The sequence below is a fragment of the Homo sapiens genome, chromosome 13, assembly GCF_000001405.40.
Source record: "Homo sapiens chromosome 13, GRCh38.p14 Primary Assembly".
NCBI classification, from domain to species: Eukaryota; Metazoa; Chordata; class Mammalia; order Primates; family Hominidae; genus Homo; species Homo sapiens.
In genome coordinates this window covers 50,698,027-50,720,850 of record NC_000013.11, presented here as the reverse complement: position 1 = coordinate 50,720,850, position 22,824 = coordinate 50,698,027, and the positions used below count along the sequence as shown (strand labels likewise).

At 40.2% G+C, this 22,824-nt stretch overlaps 1 protein-coding gene across 1 annotated transcript in view; it reads left to right on the top strand.

The window, feature by feature from the left end:
- The window catches only part of DLEU7 (deleted in lymphocytic leukemia 7), a 132,914-nt gene extending 123,089 nt beyond the window's left edge, over window positions 1-9,825 (top strand). Inside the window, exon 2 of the mRNA NM_198989.3 lies at window positions 7,611-9,825. Within this exon, the coding sequence (NP_945340.2) occupies window positions 7,611-7,634 (24 nt within the window). The 3' untranslated portion in view covers window positions 7,635-9,825. The remainder of the gene's footprint in view (window positions 1-7,610) is intronic.
- The last annotated feature ends 12,999 nt before the right edge of the window (window positions 9,826-22,824 follow it).

Sequence of the window (22,824 nt, the reverse complement as noted above, 5' to 3'; positions counted from 1 at the left end):
CTGTCTTTGATATTAAGTTACTTAGAAAGGGCTTCCCTGCCCTGATTTATACAATTATTTGCTCACCTTTTCTATAATTTTAGGGAGTTACTTTTCTTCATCTTAAAAAGTTTATCATGTCAAATTAAGTATAAAGAGGATTGTGACCATTTCTTATTCCTCTCTGTTAAGAAATAAGTGAGAAAGTGGTCCCACATGTCTACAGGATAAGTTTAGGAGGAATATTAGGATAGAATTTAGTTTGAGAATTTGTTAATCTGCTAAGTAATAAAACAATAACATGAGAATAAAACAATAACAACCACAAAACTGTCTAATAGTCTGGGATGGTGTCTGTGTGTCTTTCACACAGGTTGCATGTTGCAGTTTAGTGGTGCTCTCACATACATCATCACATTCCCCAAATGCAGGAGGCAAAGCACTAGATCTGGCTCACCTAAAGGATGTTTCAGCCTGATCTTGCCCTGATCTGGTCATTAGGCTTGCAAGAGCCCCATTTTTAAAGATCTTACCAAGTTTGGCTGACATATGAAGAAGGAAGGGAAGAAAGGAAAAATGAAAACACACGGAAACATATTTGAGGTTGTATCTATGCCCCTTGACTCTCAGCTTGCCACATGATGTGCTTTGGCCCAAAGTAGAAGGCAAAAGGGACGATGCCCTGGTTCCAAGCCTAGAGGTTGGCCTGGGCTCCTGTGTTTCTGTAGTACTGTGAGAGCATGCCCAGGATCAGCTGCCATCCCAGGAGGAGGAACCAATGAAACCACTGAGATAGCCATAAAATTGTTGTCTATTACATGATACCATTTTATAATTTGCTTGTTTTTCAACTTTGTTAGCAAATCCCCAAGTCAACAGATATTCTTCTACAATATTTGAATTGTGCCTACTCCACAAAGTGAGAACTAGAAGAATGTGACTTTCGGGTCAGCTTGTTTTAGCATGCTTCTCTAGGCTTGCCATCAGCTCCAAAGGAATAGAGAGACTGTAAAAGATACTTTAACTCAAGTGACTATATTCAATTCATTCCATTTTTCTTATAAAACTGTCTAAAGTCATGTCTAATGTGAGACAGTTCTAACTTGCTAACTAAACCACGTATTAATTCCTACTGACATTGAATCACAGCAGCATATTCACCTGGTTGTTGTAACACATGAAAATTCACAAGCACGACTCAAATCCAAGATGACTGCACCTAAACCTACACAGAGAAAAGAGATTTTAAAACAGTTGTTTCCCGTCTGTTCAAGGTGGGACCCAAATACACATTCAAACATAACAGCTGCCGCATTATTCTCCAAAAATGTCAACACAGAGCTCAATCTTTTAGCTAGTTTAGGCACCTATTAAAGTTACCTTTGAGGTACGGAGTTTTTATGAGGAAGAGTTTTTAAATTTTTTAATTAATTGAAAACCTTACTAAAAATCTCCATGCTGAAATACTGAAGAAGAATTTGCACCTCTGCCAACTAAAAATTACTCATGGAGTTAAGACTTTTGTTCCATATAAGTATATTTCCACTCTCAAAAATGTCACCTGTTGTAACAGAATTCCTTAAATCACCAAAAACGTAACATAAAGCTGGCTAGAGTCCTGATAGTCTGGTTTACTATATAGGCACTTTCTAGAAGAAATTATTCATGGTAATGGATTATAACCCAGCCCCTGCAATTAGAATGATGAGGGCCTTCCACATTGCAAGTGACGGTTACAAATGATTTTTCTTTATTTTATTATTCCCAAATTCAAAATAAAGAGTCACCCGCTGATTGCTGATGTCTACTGTTTCTCCAGTTTGTTTCCAAGTGGGACAGGTCTGAGCATTTCCAGGTGTGTAAGTTAATTCCTAGTGACTTTAACTGAATTTGTTAATGGGAAGACCTCATTACAGAAACAGTAGGAAAACCCTTCCTATTTTATAACCCCCATTGTTGACCTTAGTCCTAAGAAATTTCACTCAGGTTAGCAAAGGATTCTTGTTCTTGTGCACAATTAGGGAAAGTCCTTGAGTTATTTTCTAACCAAAACCATATATGGAAAACTGTATACCAACCAAATTATCAAGTTTCTTTGCTTCTATGTAGAATTACAGCAAATTTAATGGTCACACATTATCTGACACTGATCAAAAGGACTTTAATGAATAAAAATGGGGAAATATTCTTATTTAGCAAAAGAGAGTGTTTGGTAGATGAAGCCTTTTAAATCAAGGGCCCATGGTGGGGAAAGCAATAAAAGCTACTTTTGGTGTCAAACAGAATGACTGATTCAGAAAACATGCAATCCCGTGAAGAAAAATCCCAGGTTTTAAATGTCCTAGTTTGGGTCTCCATTCTGTTGGTACCTCACTAGTTAGTAGATTCCTTCTCCAGCCAATAGCCCCTCATTCTAATCACCAGAGTGGGGAGCCTTTGGTCTTCACAGGACTTCACGTTCAATCAATTGCCAAGACTTGGAGTCTCCATCTTTGATCTTCTTTTTCTTCTATTTCCTTCTTTAAATTTAAATGGCACCCAAATGGTTCCACTGTCTCAAAGCCTTTTCTTTGGAAATATGTTTCCATGTTATGTTTTGGGCTGAATTTATGTATTAATTATTTATTCTCAAGGAAAAATCCAAAGTTGACCATTTCTCATTTCTGAGATAAAACGATTGTTGTCTTTTCATCAGCAACATTTTTTTTAACCTGGAGCACATTGATACATTTAAATTAGTGCTTCTTAAATTTCAATATTCATAGAAATCACTTGCAGATCTTGTAAAACAAAATATTCTGATTCTGTAGGTCTTGGGGGAGGGCCTGAGATTCTGCATTGGAAACAAGCTCCCATGTGATGCTGATGAGGCTGTTTAAGAAGCACTTTGAGCAGCAAGATTTTAAATTTTCCCATAGCTATGTCAATATTATCTATAATGTCTTGGCATTGGTGGTGATTTCTGCATGTGATAGTTTGAGTTTTTGTTCCATTTTCATTTTGCCTGCTTTGTAAATGTCATTCTAGGTGCTTGCTTTATAACAGAATAGCAGAATTGATGCAACTACATTAAAACAGAAAGGGAGACATAGTGTCTGGCTGCCTTGGGCATTGCTGTTAGCAGAAATGGAAGTCTTTCAGGGGTCTTAATTTTTAATAGCTATGCTATCAGATTCTCAGTCTTGGCATTAGGGCTAGGTGTTAGAACTTCTCATAAAGTGTTCTGATTTATGGACTCCCTGCTCCTTACCATAAAATGAAGAGAAATCCTAAATTTGAAAAAAAAAAAAACCCACAGCCTAGCTAATGAGACTTCACGCTATTTGTTAATTAATAAGCATTTAATAGCATGAAGATCAGAATAACTCCAGTTTGCAAAATGTACTTACCATTTTGGAAACATCAGCAACTGAAAAGTGGGTTACATGATACAATGAGTGTAGTTGCCTTTCTCCAGACCTGTTCTGTTTCCTTGCCCTCTCTGGCCTCTTTCTGGCTCCATTTACCTTTTCCACTAGTTTACCAGATGATTCATCAACTTTCTGGCATTTTCCACTTACCATCTGTGTCCAGCATCCTGGTAAAATCCAATAAACTTTCTAATATCCAGCATCCCATTAACTATATCCTTGTATATAGCAAATTCACTGGGAGTGGATAGTCATATGATGGCCTCAAGGCAAAGGGCTCTACCACTTTTTGAATACCCACTGTGTGCCAAGTTCTGTGCTGGTTGCATCAACTAAATCATCTCACTTAAAGCTAAAGTATTAAAGATCCTAAAAAGCCATTTTACAGAAAGATTAGATTATTTTCAATTTATTATTCAGAATAAATATATCTTTTTTCTTTAACTTCTCAAATAGTTATTGAATTGTATTGGTTTAAATTAAATGCGTCATGTGTATATATAGTATTAATTCAAGAGATACAAAAGGAAATTGAGTGAAAAATAAGTCTGCCTCCTTCCCATCACTCTCATGTCTCTACCTAGAGGCAATTATTGTCAACAGTTTTTGATGTGTCTTTCAAAAAATAGTCCATTAAGCCTGGTGTACTAGATCTCTTTTAAAAGTTTACAACCTGTTACAGAATATATATAAATGTTCAATTACTAGTAACACCTTATTACATATACAGATTACAACTTAGAAATATATTTTCATGACCATTATGTCATTTGATTCTCCCTACAATCCTATGAACAAGGCAGGGGAGACATTGTTGTTACCACCTTACACATGAAGAAACCAATGCTCAAAAATGTAAAATGATCTGCCCACGTGTATATAGTTAGTGAGAGTCCCAGTTCTAGAACAATAACTAGTCTAATGCTCTTTCCGTGACATCACGGAAAAGGTAGCCCAAGGATTAGAGATCAAAAAACATTAGCCTTCCTCGATCAGTCAAAGTACTCTTTCTGTATAGTGTCAATTAACAGAGAATTTACTATGTTCAATATGGTACCAAGAGGGCATTATTCCATGTAAATAATATAGCATATAAAAACTCAATATTCTGGCTTTGCAACTGTGGTCATTAAGCTGTAACCAAACATTTCAATGAAACAAGGGCTTGAGTTCCTGTTAATGGAGATGTTTGGCCCTTCTCTTGAGATAGCCCTTGGTGATCAGAACCTACACATTGCTAGAGAAGGGTTGGGGCATTTGTGAATCTGGTCTATTAAACAAAAAAGACCAAGCAGGAAGCAATTCTATTCTTTCTTAGAACTGCCCAGTGAACTTGTTTCCTTATTTGGTGATAAAATCCTAGGTTGATCTAACATTTATGCCACCTTTCAGTTACTAACAAATACTTTGTGTTTTGAGATCTTGAAGGTCCAGTTCAGTCTAACATCAAAGCTTCCTGTGTCCCCAGCCCAGACCTGCCTCAGCAGGGTGTGGAGGGGAAGCAGTGCATGGCCAGGTGGCAGGGAGCTGCAGGGTAGCAGCAAGGTGTGCCAGGGCATGACAGCCAAACTTACCTTTCTGCTACTCTTCTTTGGCTCTTCTGCTGCCTTTGGGTCCTCCCACATCAGAACAGCAGTAGGGAGGAAAGGCAAGGTTGTGATTTGGTAGCATTATCTGGCATAGACGTTGTCTGAAGGCCGATGATTTTCTCAAGTGGAATCTTCGGAGTTTTTCCGAAACACCTCCACTAGGGAGCTGCCATTGTAGCTTCCTAACACACGTCTCCTCCAGCTATGACTTCCCCTCCTCCATCTCCGACTTCTTCCTGCTGGGGTTCCTTGTGTCTCCTGTTGGTTCCTCCTTTTGAGTGGAGCCCCATTCTCGGCTGATAGCCCAGTTCCGTTCCCTGAGTCCTCCAGGGCAACATCCCCTTTGCTGCGCCATCGGCGGAAGTGCGACTTCTCCAGCTCTCGCCCCCTTTCTCCTTTAGCTGCCACCGGCTGCTCTGTCTAGCTTCTCACCTGCTGGCTTTTCAGGTACTAATCTCTATGTGGTAGGCTGAATAAGGCCCCCACCAAAGATGTCCTTTTCCTAATCCCCAGAACCTGTGAATAGCTTACATTACACGGCAACAGGGACTTTGCAGATGTGGTTAAGGTAACAGATTTTTAGATGAGGGGATTATCCTGGATTATCGGGTAGGCTCAAAATAATTACATGATCCTTTAAAAGCAGAGAACATTTCCCGACGAAAGTCAGAGAGATGAGGCCTCGTGAGAAGGATTCCACACACTCACACTCTCGCTGGCTCTGAGATGTAGGTGCCCTTGTGCAAGAATCAGAGAGAGGCTGCAAGGAGCCAGTGGCAGTTCCCGCCGACAGCCCGCAGGGAAGCAGGGACCTCAGTCCATCAGGCAAATTGAACTGAATTCCGCCAACAAGGCGCAGAGGCCTGGAAACAGATGCTTCATTAGAGCCTCTAGGAGGGAGTACAGCCTGGCCAACACCTTGATTTCAGCCCTGTGAGGCTTGAAGCCCACACACCAGCCGCGCCCACTGGACTTCTAACCTACAGAACTGTGAGGTAGTAATTTTGCTATTTTTAAGCTGTTAAATGTGTGCTAATTTGTTTCAGCAGCAATAGACACTAATACATTCTATGTTCCCCAAAGCCTAGGGGTCCTAGGTCAGCTCTCCAAGTAATTCTCTGAAGGCCCCCTCTTATTTGCGTAAGATGAGGGGAAAACACATGAGAAGGGAGGAGGAAGCATTTTAGCAGCCTGAAAGCTCTGTCTCATGAAATCCTTGCCGTCCTCATTAATTTACAAGTCTCCCCTTGCGTAGCTAAGATTTGAGCGATGGTTTCAGGGTTATTGGACCATTTTTTTGGTCACTCCTTAGCAGATGACATCTCCTGAGAATAGATGAGCATTTTTAACAATATTTTTTTTTCTCAGCTCAAAGATGTCAGCTAGCACTGAGAAAACAGGAAAAGTCTCATTTTAATATCCTGTTACTTAAAGGTATTCACAGAATGGCTTACCGTTTTAGGTTTAACATTCTAATGATATGCCAGATGGACTGGGGTTGCTCGGAAAAAGCTGGGTGACAGGAGAAGGAGTTGAGATCCCAGAAAGAGAATTCACCACTAGGGTGGGAAGACAGACAGGTCAGAAAATAGCCACGTTGCCCAAGACCGGAATTAATGTGGATGAAACAACGCTTCTAGCCCTAGACCTCAGGCATGGCGGGATCCAAGGCAGAGGTGAGAAGGGAGTTTGTGTTCAGTGGCTCACCAGTAAGCAGGACTCTTATGCCTTCCTACAATGATCCTGCAAGAATGGAATAAACTGAGACTACATAGCTTGAGTATGTGCAATAGTTGACCACTTCCTTTCTGTGTTTTGTGGTTTCACAACTTGAGTTTCCAACAGAGCATGGGAGTGAGGGGAGTCAGAGACAGAGCAGCAGTTCTGTAACACAGCCGACAGTCTTCATGAGGGTAGGGGCAAGGCCCTACTGCCCGGTCCGGGAGGCCACATGCGGGCAGAGTCTGGGTCGTTTTCACATCTGCGGAATGATGTGTGTCTGAGGAGGGAGGCAGGTGGGAGACAACTTCCTTACAGTCCCCATCCCGTGTTGCTGCCTTTAATGAGCTTTTAGGAGGCATGATTTCATAGCCTAGTTTATTTTATAATCAAGCCCAGCTTCCTCTGTTAGACCAATCAGTACCTATTAACTGAATGCCTACCGTATGCAGGCTTATGACGCCAGGAACAAATACGTCCATGATGCTGTTGCTGTTTAGGAATTGTAAGATCATGGATAGAACCCCTTTCCTGTCAAGAGCTCACTTTTTCCATAGAGTGAAGGGCAGCTGTAAGGTTATTTCTAGAATTCTATTTTCCTTCCCTTCTCATTTCAGGAAGAAGAAGATGAACATAAAATACAAAGAAAAAGATTAATATAAAGTATAAAGATAGCTATAGAGAAGTCTTCTTCCTGGGTTGTTTGACTCGAAATTAGGGTCCTTCTATGCATATTTTGTGTTTCTCATGTAATTATCTATAATGGGTAGCCAAGAAATGTGTGTTAGCCCATATCTCCAGTACCTAATGCCATTCCTAAAATGCAATATAGTGCTCAGTAAATAATTGTTGAATCAATGAATATAAAAAATGCAAAGCAAGCATTTGAGATATTATGCTACATTTCTTTCAGCTTCAACTCCTGGCTAATGAGTGAAGAAGGTCACTGTAGGAGTGTGAGGACCATCAGGAGCTTCATATTTCAATAACCAGTGCCAAATTCTGAATGCCAGATGGGATGAGATGGGATGTTAAACCACTTCTTATTACCACGTTGTTGGCCTCCATTGCCTTCGTATTGGTCTCCAATTGCATGGTCTCTGTGGATCTCTGACTTCTTATTACCTCCGATTGGAACGCGCCACAAATCATCCTGCTTTCTTTATCCTCTCTCACCTCCAAGTAATCCTGTCATCTTGCTCCAATTAGAGCCGCTTCCATTAAGAAGATCGTGACAAATTCCCTACCCCTGTTTGCTCTTCAGGAAAATTATCCCCTGGAAAAGTGGATGTTATAGTCGCTTTTCAGAATGTATTGTCTGAATTTCTTGTCTTCCAACATTCTCCTAAGCCAGTTACCTTTGCACTGAAGTAGAATTCAAAAGGAGATAGAGGTTCTGAATTTCTTCCTTTGACCAGATGGAAGTCGTTACATCAGAATGCTGATGACTGCAAAATCTTGGACATATTGTTTTCACAATTAGGAAATGGCAAACACAAAGTTCTTCAGTGCAAAGCCAGCATGCGAGTTCAGCTTCCATTTGCTGCTATAAATTTTGTTCTTGTTGCTGCCAGTAAACACCAACTGTTCAAGTGAAATAGTAAATCCAAATGTGCCTGTTGGATGAGAGTAAAAAAATTATATGCTGCATAAATGCTGATGCAAAAGGATTTTTCAACACACTAAACCAGGGTAGGGAAAGGAACCGAGAAAGAAAGTTGAACTGAATGCAGCTCTCACTAACAACTTCTTGGTAAAAGCACTAAAAAAGCTCTTGATAGAATGTTGATTCAACATACTGTTTAAACCTCAAGGAAAAAAACAAACGCAGAATTGGGATATTGGCCTTAGGATATCTGCTTAAAGTCCTACTTTGAGCTCTCATCAGGGTTACCAAAGAAGGCGTACATAGATTGTTACAAATCAAAGCAAAGAAAAATCCCAAAGTTCCCTCAAAACTGATGTGGGCACTTGGCCCAGAAGTTGTTTGCTAATGATCAGTCTAACAGCTGAAAGTCAAAGTCAGTGGCTAGTACCATCTGCAATAGGATTTAGGAAGTTTTGATCTCACAAATTTACTGTAAGGCTAATCAATGAATGTTTGTACTCAGGTCTCCCTACAGTTAAATTTAATGTGTAACTGGAATTACGATTCAAAGAGATAGTTTCATAAATGGTCCCTGAAATTTAATTTTGGATTACCTAAGTTTACAATGGATTTCTCTTCTCCTTTCCCCAATATTTTTCTTACGCAGAAAAAAAAAAAAAAAATCCTGTGTGACCTTGGAGCTGGCTGCCCTGAGTCCCAGGCTCTGATTTGATTCTGATGCTCCAGAGCCTGCTTTCTCATGTAGGTATAGGTAGTAATGCCCCCCGCCCCCGCCACTGGGTCATTGTGAGGGTTAAACAAGATAATACTTGTTAAATGCCTGGCACAGCCCTTGCACATAAAATGTCCTTAATAATATTAATTCCCCTTCCAGATTAGACTTTGCAAACAAATGATTGAAAAACAGAACATTCACGTGGATTGGATTCTCTAGCGTGATAAGGCTCCAGGCCAAGAACCATGCAGTAAAGATCTTCCAAACCAAAGTATTTCAGCATCTGAGAATGGCTAGGGCTTATCTTCATGGCTAAAATAAGCATTTTAATATAAAGCAGGCTTTTTTCTTCATTTTCTTATGGAAAGGAAAGCATTTTCAGAATAATGGTTAAAATCTGTCCTTTGTAGATCTGAAAATGTGAGCAAGTTTCATACCGAAGTCAAGATCTACTGAAAGTGTTAGATGAATATATAAGGACCAGACGCTGCTGTCAAAAATAAAACAGATGCTGGTGTCTTGAATGCCTCCATGTGCCAAAGCTGAGTTCTTTGACTTATTTTTGTCATTGAATTAATTGGTATATCTGGTTTAATTGGCCAAATTGTTTTTGCTTAAATGTTCACATTTTCATTGTTATATTGATATACTCAATATTTTTGAGGGTACAGAAAATACCAATATTGGCAAATTTGGTATTTTTGCCAATTTTGTGTGTTCAGAAGAAAAATTGTTCATTTCCAGATCCCAGATTTATGGAAATTTAAAAATATATAGTAAAGTGTTGGTTTCTCCTTATGGTTACATCTGAATGTATATAAATTATCAGAGTCTGTGTGCATTTATTTCCATAGAAAATAATACCAGCAGAGACACAGCCAAACCAAGTTGAACCTTGCTGAGTGGATTTGAAGAAACACAGGCCAACTCAGGGCAAGGCAAACCCAAGAGATAGAAAGTCTAAAATAGTAATAATCAGCCTTTGAAACATTTTCCCTTGAAAAAGGCATCTCAGTCCCATCCTATATTTACAGACCAGAAGAGACACACATGTGTTCTACGTATGACACAGAAAGTAAAACCAAAAGGCTCATTCTGAATGCCCAGTCCAGCTTGAATTGAAACCTTTGTGAAAAAGTAGTGCTTTTGATTCAAAGGAGCTCAGGTTTGAAAGGGAGATGTGAAGTCTAACATCCCATCTATCTGATGCCTGGTCTTCCTTTACACAGTTCTGGCAAAGATGCCAACCAATTGATACTTGAACATCTATAGAAATGAGCAACTCATGCCCTAGAGAAGAACACTCTGCCTTTGAATAATATTATTAGAAAATGTGTTCTTATTTTGGACCAAGGCCTATTTCTCTGTAACTGCCACTTATGGCTTCTATTTCTATCACTCAGGGGTCACAGGCAGGCAGAATTCCATTTCCAGTGACAATTAGTCTTACAAACATTAAGGCAAAGCTCACAAATTAGCCCACATAGTATTTTAGATAATTGTAAATTAGCTACTAACATTTGAAAATTAGAAAACTACCCACAGAAATTTGTATTTTCAACTAACGAAATTGCTGATTCTCTGAAAGCAATGGGCCACATTCCCAAATGGTAAAACTAGTACCCCCTTATCCACAGTTTCACTTTCTGCAGTTTGAGCTACCTGTGATCAACCATAGTCTGAAAATATTAAGTGGAAAGTGCCAGAAATAAACAATGTATATGGTTTAAATTGCACACTGTTCTGGGTAATGAAATCTCTGAGTCCCACTCTGTGTTGCCTGGGATGTGAATCACCCCTTTGTTCAGCATAGATGCTACCTGCCCATTGGTCACTTAGTAGCTGTCTCAGTTATTAGATGGAAAAAAAAGCCATAGTATATATAGAGTTCTGTATTACCCATGGTTTCAGGCATCCACTGGGAGGGGAGTGTCTTGGAATATATCTCGGTAGATAAAGGGATACTACTGTACTTGGCTGAGCTGAGTAGCTGCTGCCACTTTCAGACAGGGAATGTGCTGGCCTTTTTGCCACAGTCCTCACTACTCCCTATTACTGTGCACTGAGCCTGCTTTCCTCATTTTCTGATACTTAACTGGCCTCTGAGACATTTGCCCTTCTAGTTCTTACTGTGTCCTCTCTAAGGCTTCTTTGCTTCAGGAGATTTATCCTCACTTTCTCACTCTTCCCCTCTGCAAGAAAAACCTCATGCATGCCTGAAGCCTAGACCTGCTGAATGACAGTGCACCTAGAAAACTGACAACTGATTCATCCAATCTCACAATCAATCCTCAGAAATGTGCTGGGGTAAATATATAGCTATAGACCTTAGAATCATTTTAGATAGCATAAGGGTAGGATGTGGAGGTTGTAAAAAACCTGTGCACATGGAACAAAATAGCTTCTCATGCCTGCTAAAGGCCTAATTCCAGATAGTTGTTATTATTTGCAGCTGTAAATCCTCATAAGCACTCAAATCAGTACCTACAACCAAGAGCACGCTATGAGGTTTTCTGCTTTGTTTAGTTGCCTCTATGATGTTTAATGCCTTCGGTATTAAAGAAAATCTCACTCAGCCAGTGTCTGTTGGTGACTTACTACCAGTTGCATCATAGTCCTCCATATTCTGGAAAAGTGAAGAGTCCCTGATTTTGAATCCAAGCACCTCCACTGAATAGCTGAATGACCTTGGGGAAATTGTTTAACACCTCTGAGCCTCAGATTCTCCATCTGGAAAATGAGGATAGTAAATAGGTAAGCCCTATTACTATTCTCATGATGTGAGAAATACATGAGACACACATATAGCGCATAGAGCCGCCCTTGGTTCATATTAATCGCTCACTGGTATTCATATATAATTCCTGTACATTATAGCAGACCACTCCCACAGTGCCTCAGCCTTTCCCACATCTGGGCATACAGGATCAACTTCTGAGTGCCAGCACTTGTGAGTCTTGCTGAAAGTTTTCTCCTACACCCAGTTTTTTCAGTCCCTATACACTGTGGCAGGCTGGAAATGTAGGGGAGTTAATAGCCCTCCTCTCTTCCCCCAGGAGTTGCCTCTACCAATGATAAATGGGAGCTGATAAATGAATGCGCCAGCTTCCTCACCCCTCAGAAGAGATAAGTCAGGAATGTGCACTACTTGGTCTTCTAGAGTTCCCCTTAGTGCATTTAGCTCCAGTCGCCCATAGTTGCCAAAGCTTATTTGGCAATGTGCCCTTTATAGACAGCCTTGCTGTCCCTGTCTCCTTTCTTCACACTGTTATTGATATTTCCTGGGGTCAATTACACAATAAACTACTTACACGCAAAAACTTAGCTCAGCATCTGCTTCTGGTGGAACACAAGCTAAGACAGTTGGTACGAGAAGTAATCCTAGGAAGCAGATCTTTAGGATACAGTCTGGAGCTACATCACTTGCTTGACAAGTAGCAATAAGCAAATCCCATTGCTGGTGGTAAGTGGTATGGTGGCAAACCCCAACTTACTGTGGCATTGATGATAGATTTGGATGGGATATAAGTGGCAGGTAATTATGCTGTGTACTGTAATATTCACGATGGATTTGGATGGGATATTGATGGATTGGCTTCTGTAATACCACTAGCATTTGAAAGATATTTGAGCACTCACAGAGGGTCTGATTTAGCTTTTTCAGGATCCCACCTAACATTTCCTGGACCAACAGACTTGCTTTCCAGGGAAGGAAGTACTATAATTGACACACAGCGATGGTATTCACTGGTCCTACTCTATACTATATCACCCTAGAGCTAGTCTGGTAGAAAATTTGAATGCTGTTTTAAAGGCACAGCTGGGGTTCCAGCCTGAGAATGCCACTTGCAGTGTTTTGGTGGTGTCATTCAAAATGTGGCATATTGTCTAGATCAATGTTGTTGAGGGTACAATGCCCCCAGCAGGAAGAACTCACGGGTTTAGGAAACAAGGGGTAAGAGGAGGAGTGGCTCCTGACACTATCACTTCCCATGGTCTACTTGGGGAATTTGTCCCCTAGTCTGGTCTGCTGGACCAGAGATTATGGTTTCTAACTGGCAGATGGAGAGCTCTTCTGCCAGCAGACACAGGAAGCACTACATTAGCCCTAAAGCAACAGCTGCCATCTGGTTATTTTGGGTTCCTCATGCCTGTAGAGCAACAGGCAAAAAAAGAAGTTACCTGTTTATCAGGAAGAGATAGAGTAGCTATTATATTATAGAGGCTGGTTCTTAAGGGGATTTGTTGGAATCTCTCTAGGTGTTTTCTTTCCTGGTAGTAACCAAATGGGCAGTTACAGAAACTATGGACTGACAGAGATGAAGGAACTCAGAGGTCTCAGATCCTTCAGACTTTAAGGTCTGGGATCATAAATATTAATTATGACCTAGGAACCAGCTTCTGTGTAGGGACTGTACCCTGGCCCACTAACCTTTCTGCAGTAATTATTTTCCTTTTTTTTTTTTTTTTTGAGATGGAGTCTTGCTCTGGCACGATCTTGGCTCACTGCAACTTCTGCCTCCTGGGTTCAAGTGATTCTCCTGCCTTAGTCTCCGAAGTAGCTGGGACTACAGGCGTGCACCACCGTGCCCGGCTAATTTTTGTATTTTTAATAGAGATGGGGTTTCACCATGTTAGCCAGGCTGATCGTGAACTCCTGACCTCAGGCAATCCGCCCGCCTTGGCCTCCCAAAGTGCTGGGATTACAAGCATGAGCCACTGCACCCAGCCTATTTTCCTTTAAAAAAGTATTGACAGTCACCCCCATTAAGAATCAATGACAAGACAGACTAAACTTAAGTGGGATGTAAGTGGATGAGAACGGACCCATCAGGGACTGTGGCAGATGCTATCAGTGCCTTATTCACATCCCCTCAGCTCCTACTGGCCCAACTTCCAGCACCTTCCAGAATGCACCACCCTAAGGCACTGCCAGAGAGAAACCATAAATATATCACAGTTTTCCCTTTTGCTCACCCTGAGCTCTGGCTGCTATAGTGAAAAATTATCTAGAAGTCATAAACTCAAGTGCTTACTATCCAAACCAGGCCAACAACTTTAGTGAAGCCCATGGAGTCAGATGTAAACCCTGGGTAATGGTCAGAACTGGCTTCTCCAATGGCTCCAGCCCATTGGACACTCAGCCAATACTGCTACAGGAATGATCCAGCCTTCTGATTGCCTTGATATTTCCAGCAACAACCTGATGCCAGCCCTTCACACTCTTGGAGGGGACAGCAGGAAGCTGAATGTCATTGATTGAAGGAAAATACAACCGGGTGAGGTGGCTCAGGCCTGTAATCCCAGCACTTTGGGAAGCCGAGGTGGGAGGATCGCTTAAGCCTAGGAGTTTGAGACCAGCCTAGGCAACACAGCGAGACCTTATCTCTGCAAAAATTAAAAAAAAAAAAAAATTAACCGGGCATGGTGATGCATGTCTGTAGTCTCAGCTACTCAGGACGCTCAGGTGGGAGGATTGCTTGAGCCCAGGACATCGAAGCTGCAGTGAGCCATGATCATGCCATTGCACCCCAGCGTGGATAACAGAGTGAGACCCTATGTCAAAAAAAAAAAAAGGAAGGAAGGAAGAAAGGAAGGAAGAAAGAAAGAGAAAGAAAGAAAGAGAGAAAGAAAGAAAGAAAAGAAAGAAAGAAAGAAAGAAAGAAAAAGAAAATACCCTGAGGTAGCATGGCTCCAAACACCCTAGGGCCACGTCTGGGAGAGTCGGCCTAGGCAGGGTAGATTCTTGCGTGTTTGAAGACAGCTGTTGAGAAGCTGTGAACCAAGCCCAAGGACCCAAACAGACAGGGAGCTGAATCTCATACCAGAACAACCACCACATTTATATGAGAAAAGTTAAATATGGTTATTCTGAATGAAATTTGCAGGTACTTAAAAAAATTATAGCACCAACCTTGCACAGAACATATGGGAAGCTATTCGAGGTAAAGAACCAGTTTTCTCTAACATGAACATGATCTTTTGCTGCACTATCTGGTGCTACTTTGATCTAAAGAGAAGAGCCACAAAGAAGGTAGCTGTACCAGGAATGGGGACTATGGTATGTGAACAGCTGTAATTGTAAAGCTGCCAGCTTCAGTCCAATGGAGAGAGTAATAGTGAATTTCCACTGATGTGTCAGGCTTTATTCTAAGCATTTTACATATAGCAACCAGTTAAATATTTATAACAACCTTATGGTAGAGGTATTATCATCATCCATTTTGTACAAATAAGGAAACTGAGGCACAGAATACTTTAGATTATTTTGCATCCCAATAGCCCACTCCAGAGCCTGGACTCTTAAGACTTCTTTCTGTTCTGCTATTCTCTTTTAATAACAACCCCAATAGAAGAAGGATTGGGCCGGGCATGGTGGCTCATGCCTGTAATCCCAGCACTTTGGGAGGCCAAGGCGGGCGGATTACCTGAAGTCAGGAGTTCAAGACCAGCCTGGCCAACATGGTGAAGCCCCATCTCTACTAAAAATACCAAAAATTAGCCAGGCGTAGTGGCGGGCACCTATAATCCCAGATACTCGGGAGGCTGAGACAGGAGAATCGCTGAGCCCGGGAGGCTGTGATTGCAGTGAGCCGAGATTGTGCCATTGCACTCCAGCCTGGGCAACAAGAGTGAAACTCCGTCTCAAAAAATAATAACAATAAAATAAATAAATAAATAATAAAAAAAGAAGAAGAATTGATTTGGATTCCTTAGTATTGGATGTGTACATGATGCATGGTAGTTGTATTTTTCTCTGTCGTGTGTGTGTGTTTGTGTGTGTGTGTGTGTTGTATCTGCGTTTCTTAGGCAAATTATTAAGCAAAAGACTCAGTTTAGTCTGAAGCTAGCTGATCAGACACATAACCGAATATCAGGAGGCTTAATCAGTGGCACCACTTGCTACTAACTGGCTTTATAGTTAGATCTCAAGTGCTCATTTCCTCATCTATGTAAGAGGGGGTTGGACCAATCACCTTCTCATTTTCAAGATGGGTAAAACTACAGCTGTGTCACCTTCCAATAGGACTGAAAGTTTGGGAAGTGAGGCAATTACCTCCCCTGCCCCTAGTACTATCACCAATCAGCTGCCATAAAGCCAAATCTTAACTGAGGGTGAATTCTTTGGTGGTTTAAGTGAGTTTGAGAGTTAGACTAGACACTCTGACCTCTCTCCATAGGAACCTAGGAGAGACCCTGGTTTCTTCCAGGCTGTATGGTGAGTGAGCAACCATTCAGGGTGGCTTCTATTCAATAGAAGGATCTGTTTCAGCAATTTCTAAAAGTTAGCCACTTTCTTCTCTTTAGGATGTGACTTGATTTGACCAAAGTTTCTACAAGGCAGCCCTCTAAGCTGCCATGGGCCTCCTGCAGGTATGGCCTGAGATATAGTCTATGATATAGACCAAGGCAGTCTGTAGAATCTGGAGTTAAGCATCTTATTATCATCTCCTCAGTAATCAATTTTATCAACCCAGAGATTTGACTAAAGAGAGTATGGAATGCTCAGGTGTGGCAGACCAACCTGACTCAAGCACACATTCTTTCTAAAGGGAAACAGAAGAAGTTAGACACATGACCTCAAAGCTCAGAAAGTGAGCACTTCTTACATCTATTGCTGTAGAGAGCTGCACAAGAGGCATCATCAGCGCTTAAGTAATTTAAGGTTCATTCTGTAGGACACATTTCTAGAAAAGGAATCTGGGTAAAAGAGTACTAAAATGTCTAAGCTTTTGGTTCAAGATGTCTTTTCTAACAATAGCTGTTGACTGAAAAGACTAAGAAAAGGTGGCACGTGGCTCAGCACATGCTTAGCGGCTGGAACAGAAGCTTCAGCTACACACCTAGTTAGTGATGTATGATGTATCTGGCTCTGTCTTTTGCTTCCCTGGCTTCCCTTTTTTTAAAGTCAGGTTTTTCAAGGTATAATTTATATACAGTAAAATTTACCCTTTTTAAGTGTGCAGTTTGATGGATCTTGAAAAACACATACAGTTGTGTAAGCACCACCACAATCAAGACCTAGAGCATTCTCTCTGCACCTTTGTGATCAGTCCTCTCTCTCCATTCTCAGCCCCTGGCAATTACTGTCCCTATAGTTTGCCTTTTGTGGCATGTGATTCATATGAAAGGACAGAGCAGGTGGTCTTTTAAGTCTGGCTTTTTTTCACTTAGCATTATGCATTTGAGTTCATCCGTGTTGTTACATATAGCACAAGTTATTCTCTTTAATTGCTGTCATATTCCATTGTATCAATGTAACAGAGTCTGTTCATTTATTTACTGGGCGGTGGTTATTTGGGTTGTTCGTAATTTTTTGGAGGTTGTGAATAATGCCTCGCAACATGAAGATGTTTTATATCTCTCGGGTAGATACTCCAATGCTTTATGTTTTCATTTCTCTTGGGTAAATATCCAAATGCTCAGTTGTATAAGTGACATTCAACTTTATAAGAAATTGTCAGACTGACTTCTTAAGTGGCACTTAGCATTACCACCAGCAATACCTGAGAGTTCCAATTACTCTGCATCCTTATCAGCTCTTGACCTTGCCGTTTTAAAGTTTCTATTGTTAAAAAGAGGTATGGCAGTATTTCACTGTTTTTAATTTGCATATCCTTAATGACGAATACTGTTGAGTGTCTTTTCATTTGTTCATTTGCCTTCCACATACCTTCTTTGCTGAAATGTCCAAGTCTTTTGGCCATTTTTTATTAGGTTGTTAGTTTACTTTTATTATTATTTGTCAGAGTTCTTTATATATTCTGAAAACAAGTCTTTCATAACATACGTATTTTGTAAATATTTTGTCCCAGTCTGTGGCTTGTCTATTTATTTTTTTTCTTAACAGTATATTTCAAAGAACAGCACTTTTTATTTCAATGAAGTCCTACTTAATTTTTGTGTGTGGCCTAGCTAAGAAAGCAGCACTTATCGATGGTTGCAAAAATCTCTTCCCTATCTTTTCCTCTAGAAATTTCTTATTGTTAGGTTTTACATGTAGGCCTATGTTCCAATTTGAGTTGATTTTGTATTTGAGGCAAGGGATGGGTTGAGAATCATGTTTTTGCATATAGGTATCTGTTTCGCTGACATCTGTTGAAAAAAACTATCCTCCATTGAATTTCCTTTGTTCCTTAGTTGAAAATCAATTATCCTTATATTTGTGGATTTATTTTGGATTCAGTTTAATTTCATTGACTTGTGGTGACTCTTTCACCAACATGCATACTTTTGACACTGTAGCTTTAGAGTTAATTCTTTAGATTAACTTTGTTTTTTCTCCAAATTCTTTTCACTAATCTGTTTACTTTGCTTTTCCATAAAAATTTTAGAATCTGCTTGTTGATTTCTACAACAGATCTTGCTAGGATTTGTATTGAGGCTGCATTGAATCTACAGATCACTTTAGGAAGGATTTACATTTCTGGCCACCTTTTTTTTTTTTTTTTTTTTTTTTCTGACAGGGTCTTGGTCTTGCTCTGTTGCCCAGGCTGGAGTGCAGCAGCACAACTACTGCTCACTGCAGCCTTGATCTCCTGGGTTCAAGCACACCACCCACCTCAGCTTCCCAAGCTGCTGGGACTACAGGCACATGCCATCATGCCTAATTTTTTTTTTGGTAGTGACAGAGTTTCTCCATGTTGCCCAGGCTGGTCTTGAACTCCTGGGCTCAAGCAACCCACCTGCCTTGGCCTCCCAAAGTGCTGGGATTACAGGAGTAAGCCACCACCCAGCCCTGGTCACTTTTTGATCCTAACTTATTTCTTCTACCTTGGCTTATGAAACCAGCCACCAACGTGCCTGTTGTTATTGCACAGCTTGTCCTCATGATTGGATCTGCACTGGATGTTAGCTGTTGGTAAACAATTCATACTGACTTTAACCCTACACGACATAGTATCACCTGGTATACGGACCCAGGTTTTTACCATCCCTTTAACGAGGTCTTTGCAGGTAACTTTGTAATGTCCTCCTACTGTGGATAAGGTAACCTGCTCCACCACTTGAAATTGGGCTCAAAATTAGCTTTGTCCCATGGAATTTAGGAGATATGACACAACAAAAGACTTGAAATGGTCTTGTGCATTGAGGCTTGCTTTCTTGTGCCTCTGTCATTGCCTCAAGAATATGTCTGCTGGAGAATGAAAGATAATTGGAACTGAGCCAAATTGCCCCAATCATCCCAGTCAAGGGAAGCCTTGATCAGCTGACAGCCAATTTACCCCCAGATATGTGAACGTGCACAGCCAAGATCAGCATACTGCCTAGCTAAGCACTCCAAATGCAGGAGTTATAAATATCTATTATCATATGCTACTGAACGTTTGTGTTTATTTTTTATGAAGCATCATGATAGCAATAGATAACTGACACATGTCGGTAACAACAGGCTCTTTAAATGCATTACAGATAGCATCGCAAAATAACTTATAGGGCTAGGGCAGTCTGTAACCAAATATAGCTAGTTTCATGGGTTAATCACATCTCTTGATTTTTTCCCATCATTCTCAATACCAAATACTAAAGAAAATTATTATAATAGAAACTTTTCTAGGTCCTCATCACCACCTCCAACCCCTGAGTCAAGTAAAACTGTAAAACTGTGAAGGACTCCATTCCACTTCATTTTTATTCTTAATCACAAGGAGGTTATATTGCCTTAACCCTTTTAGTAAATGATTGAGCATCCCAGATGTGTAATGGTTTTGGAAAAGGTCAGAAAAATGTCAAAAGAAAGGCAAGCAACAAGAAAATGATTAATCAGCTTTTCTTCTCATCAAAGTCTTGAACTATTTGCTGAATTGGGGTTTTTAATTTTTTATATATTTAAATTTTTAGGTAGCTATCCTTTGGAGTAGGAATGCCATGGCATAAAGAGTCATAACATTTAAAACATGTTTATGAAGTCTAAACCACTAACTTGGCTGCGGTTGAAATGCATTAGGCTCCTTTGTGCTGTGCTCACACCCCTCCCAAAGGTTGTGCTGGCAAAGCTTTCTCCTACTGCTGCTGCCTCCTCCCTGGATGGCACCATGAGCTGTAAGACAAATGTAGGCATATAACCCACATTAAAGGGCATTGAGAAGTATTAGAAGTTGTGCTTCTTCAGGCTTTGACATCTGACACATTTCTAATCACTGGGGTGTGCTTGGGTCAGAGGCCCTTTACATCAGGATCATTTTGCACAGCTTAAATTTCAGGGTCTCCTATTAGAGCCGAAGAGAAGAGAGATCCCCAATCCACAGCCATGCCGCTGTCAGGGGCAATACCTCCTCGAAGAGGGGCCTCTGGGGCCCAGGGACAGAAACCTGCCACCACCACCCATGGTGGTGGAATTTAAGCCTGGAATGCTTAAGACTTTGGCCCTGGCAGTAGTCTCACTTGATTGATTTTATTCACCCACCCCTGACCCAGTCTTTTTGATGACTTTGTTGCATTGCCTCCTTGAGAAATAAAAATAGACTGGGTAAACCAAATTTGGTTAAGATTTAAGTTCTTAGGCAAAAAATAGCACTAGTCTCTGAAGCCAGTGCAGGGCTTTGCTCATAAGCTGAAGGGGCAGTCCAAAGAAAAAGTTAGGGTTTGTCAAATATGCTAAAGCAGCAGGGCAGGCCTAAGCTGATAAGAGCTACTAGTGTGTTTACATGAAATGAACAGGTCAAAGCACATTCAATAGAAATTATAGGAGACAGATAGTGGGATAGAATCACATTCATCTGGTTTCAAATTTCTTCCTTACCCATTACCAGCTGTGGTATCAGAGTCTCAGTTTTCTCAATTCTAAAACAGGGATATTAATAGAACTTATTTCATACGGCTGTAATGAACTTTAAAATAAATAAATAAATATAGTTTGCCTGATACTGCTTCTGACTCATTAAGTACTCAATAAATGGCAGTTAATATTGTTAGTATTGATGCCATTACTTACAGTGAAACTGCTTAGGATGTGATATTACATAAAAATCCACCAGAATACAAAGTTGGATTGGCAATATAATTAAAACTATGCTAAAAAGAATAATAAGGAAAAGGCTGGAAATGCATTGGAATGCTATCGTGTGAGTCAGGTCAGTGGGATTATTGGTGGCTTCTCTTTCTTTTCTACTTTCCAAGTTTTCTGCTACAGTACTATACTATATTTATGATTAAAATAATGTTTTAAAAATGTAAATTATGTGCAATATCTTACCAAATAGGCTAACCTGAATCTAATCATGAGAAAACTATCATATAAAACCAGACAATGGGACATTCAGGAAGACAATTCCCTTGAATTCATAAAAATGTCATTAAAAAAAAAAAGTACAAAGGATCCCAACTTTGGGAGGACAAGGCGGGAGGATTACTTGAAGCCAAGAGTTTGAGACCAGCCTGGGTAGCAAAGTGAGACCCTTGTCTCTACAAAAAACTTTTAAAAAGTGCAAAGACAGGAGAACTGAGAACTATACTATAGTTAAAGAGATCAAAGAGATAATAGCAACCAAATATAATGTGTGAATCTTGACGGGATCCTGGATCAGAGAAAAAAATATATGAAAGTCAATTTTGGGAAAATTGGGGAATTCAAATCTGGCCTGTATATTAGATATGTTATATGTTATTTTTTCTTGGCTATAATAATGAAAATGTTATGTAGTAGAATGTCCTTATTCTTAGAAAATGCAAGCTGAAGTACTTATGAGTGACATGTCACAATATTGATTATATAGATACAGCTGTATCTGTCTATTAATTATCAGTAACGTATTATCTATCGCTAAAAAGCATTATGTTTTCAAAGTGATTTTTATGTCTGTGAAGTTTTTTGAGTCTCATAAGAAGCCAGTTGGAAAATGATCATTAGTTTTATGGTAAATTTTGACTTTGATTTATCTTACACGGATATATGTCTTCTACAAATAATTCCCAGAGGACTAAAACTATGCCATTCCAACACATCCAATGTATGTATGTACATGTGTATACATACACACATATATGTATATACATGATAGATGTACATATATATGATAGATACACACACACATATTTTTATATATATATATATATATATTTTTTTTTTTTTTACATATTTTATTTCCTGATTCCCTAAAATGCTTGGCATCAAATTTTGATTTTGGTCACTTCTCACTGTTGCTGATTTGATTCAGCTGGTCATAAAGTGATGCTAAAATACAACCCCCGCCCTAAGGAGTTTACAGCCTCTTGGGAGACTGATGTGTAAACAAGCAATTAGAGTGATGCCTTATGAGGGAGATCAGCACAGAGTGCTACAGAATAGATGAGAGGTATTCAGTCACAGGTTAGGGACAGCAGACTGGGGGTAACCTCTTCCACAGAGCTGCCTGGGCTCTTGAAAAATGGCTGCCATCTCCCCCACAGGTGACATCTGTGGGGAAATGTCCTTTCCTCATTACCTTGTAGTGTCTCAGCAAGGAGATAATGTGCAGACTGGCAATCACCAGACTCTGAGTCGGCTTCATTTTTCCTGTCAGCCCCAAGGTCATTTGTGCAGACAGGAAGGGTGTGCCAATATACATCTCTGAGCACTAATTAATGTTTTCAAAGGAATGACAGGGCAGGAAATTTCTTCAGGTACAAGAATGAGAGGAGAAGGATTGGGGAGACTTCCTCTCCACTCCCCCCCCCCAAGAGCTAATATAGAGTAAAGAATTAAAATGAAACTGCTCAAACATCCTGCCAGGCATCTCCAACCTCATAGCATACCATACTAGGGGAATGACTGAAGAATTTCAAAGGATCAATGTGGGCATTCTGAACAATTCAATGATTTTA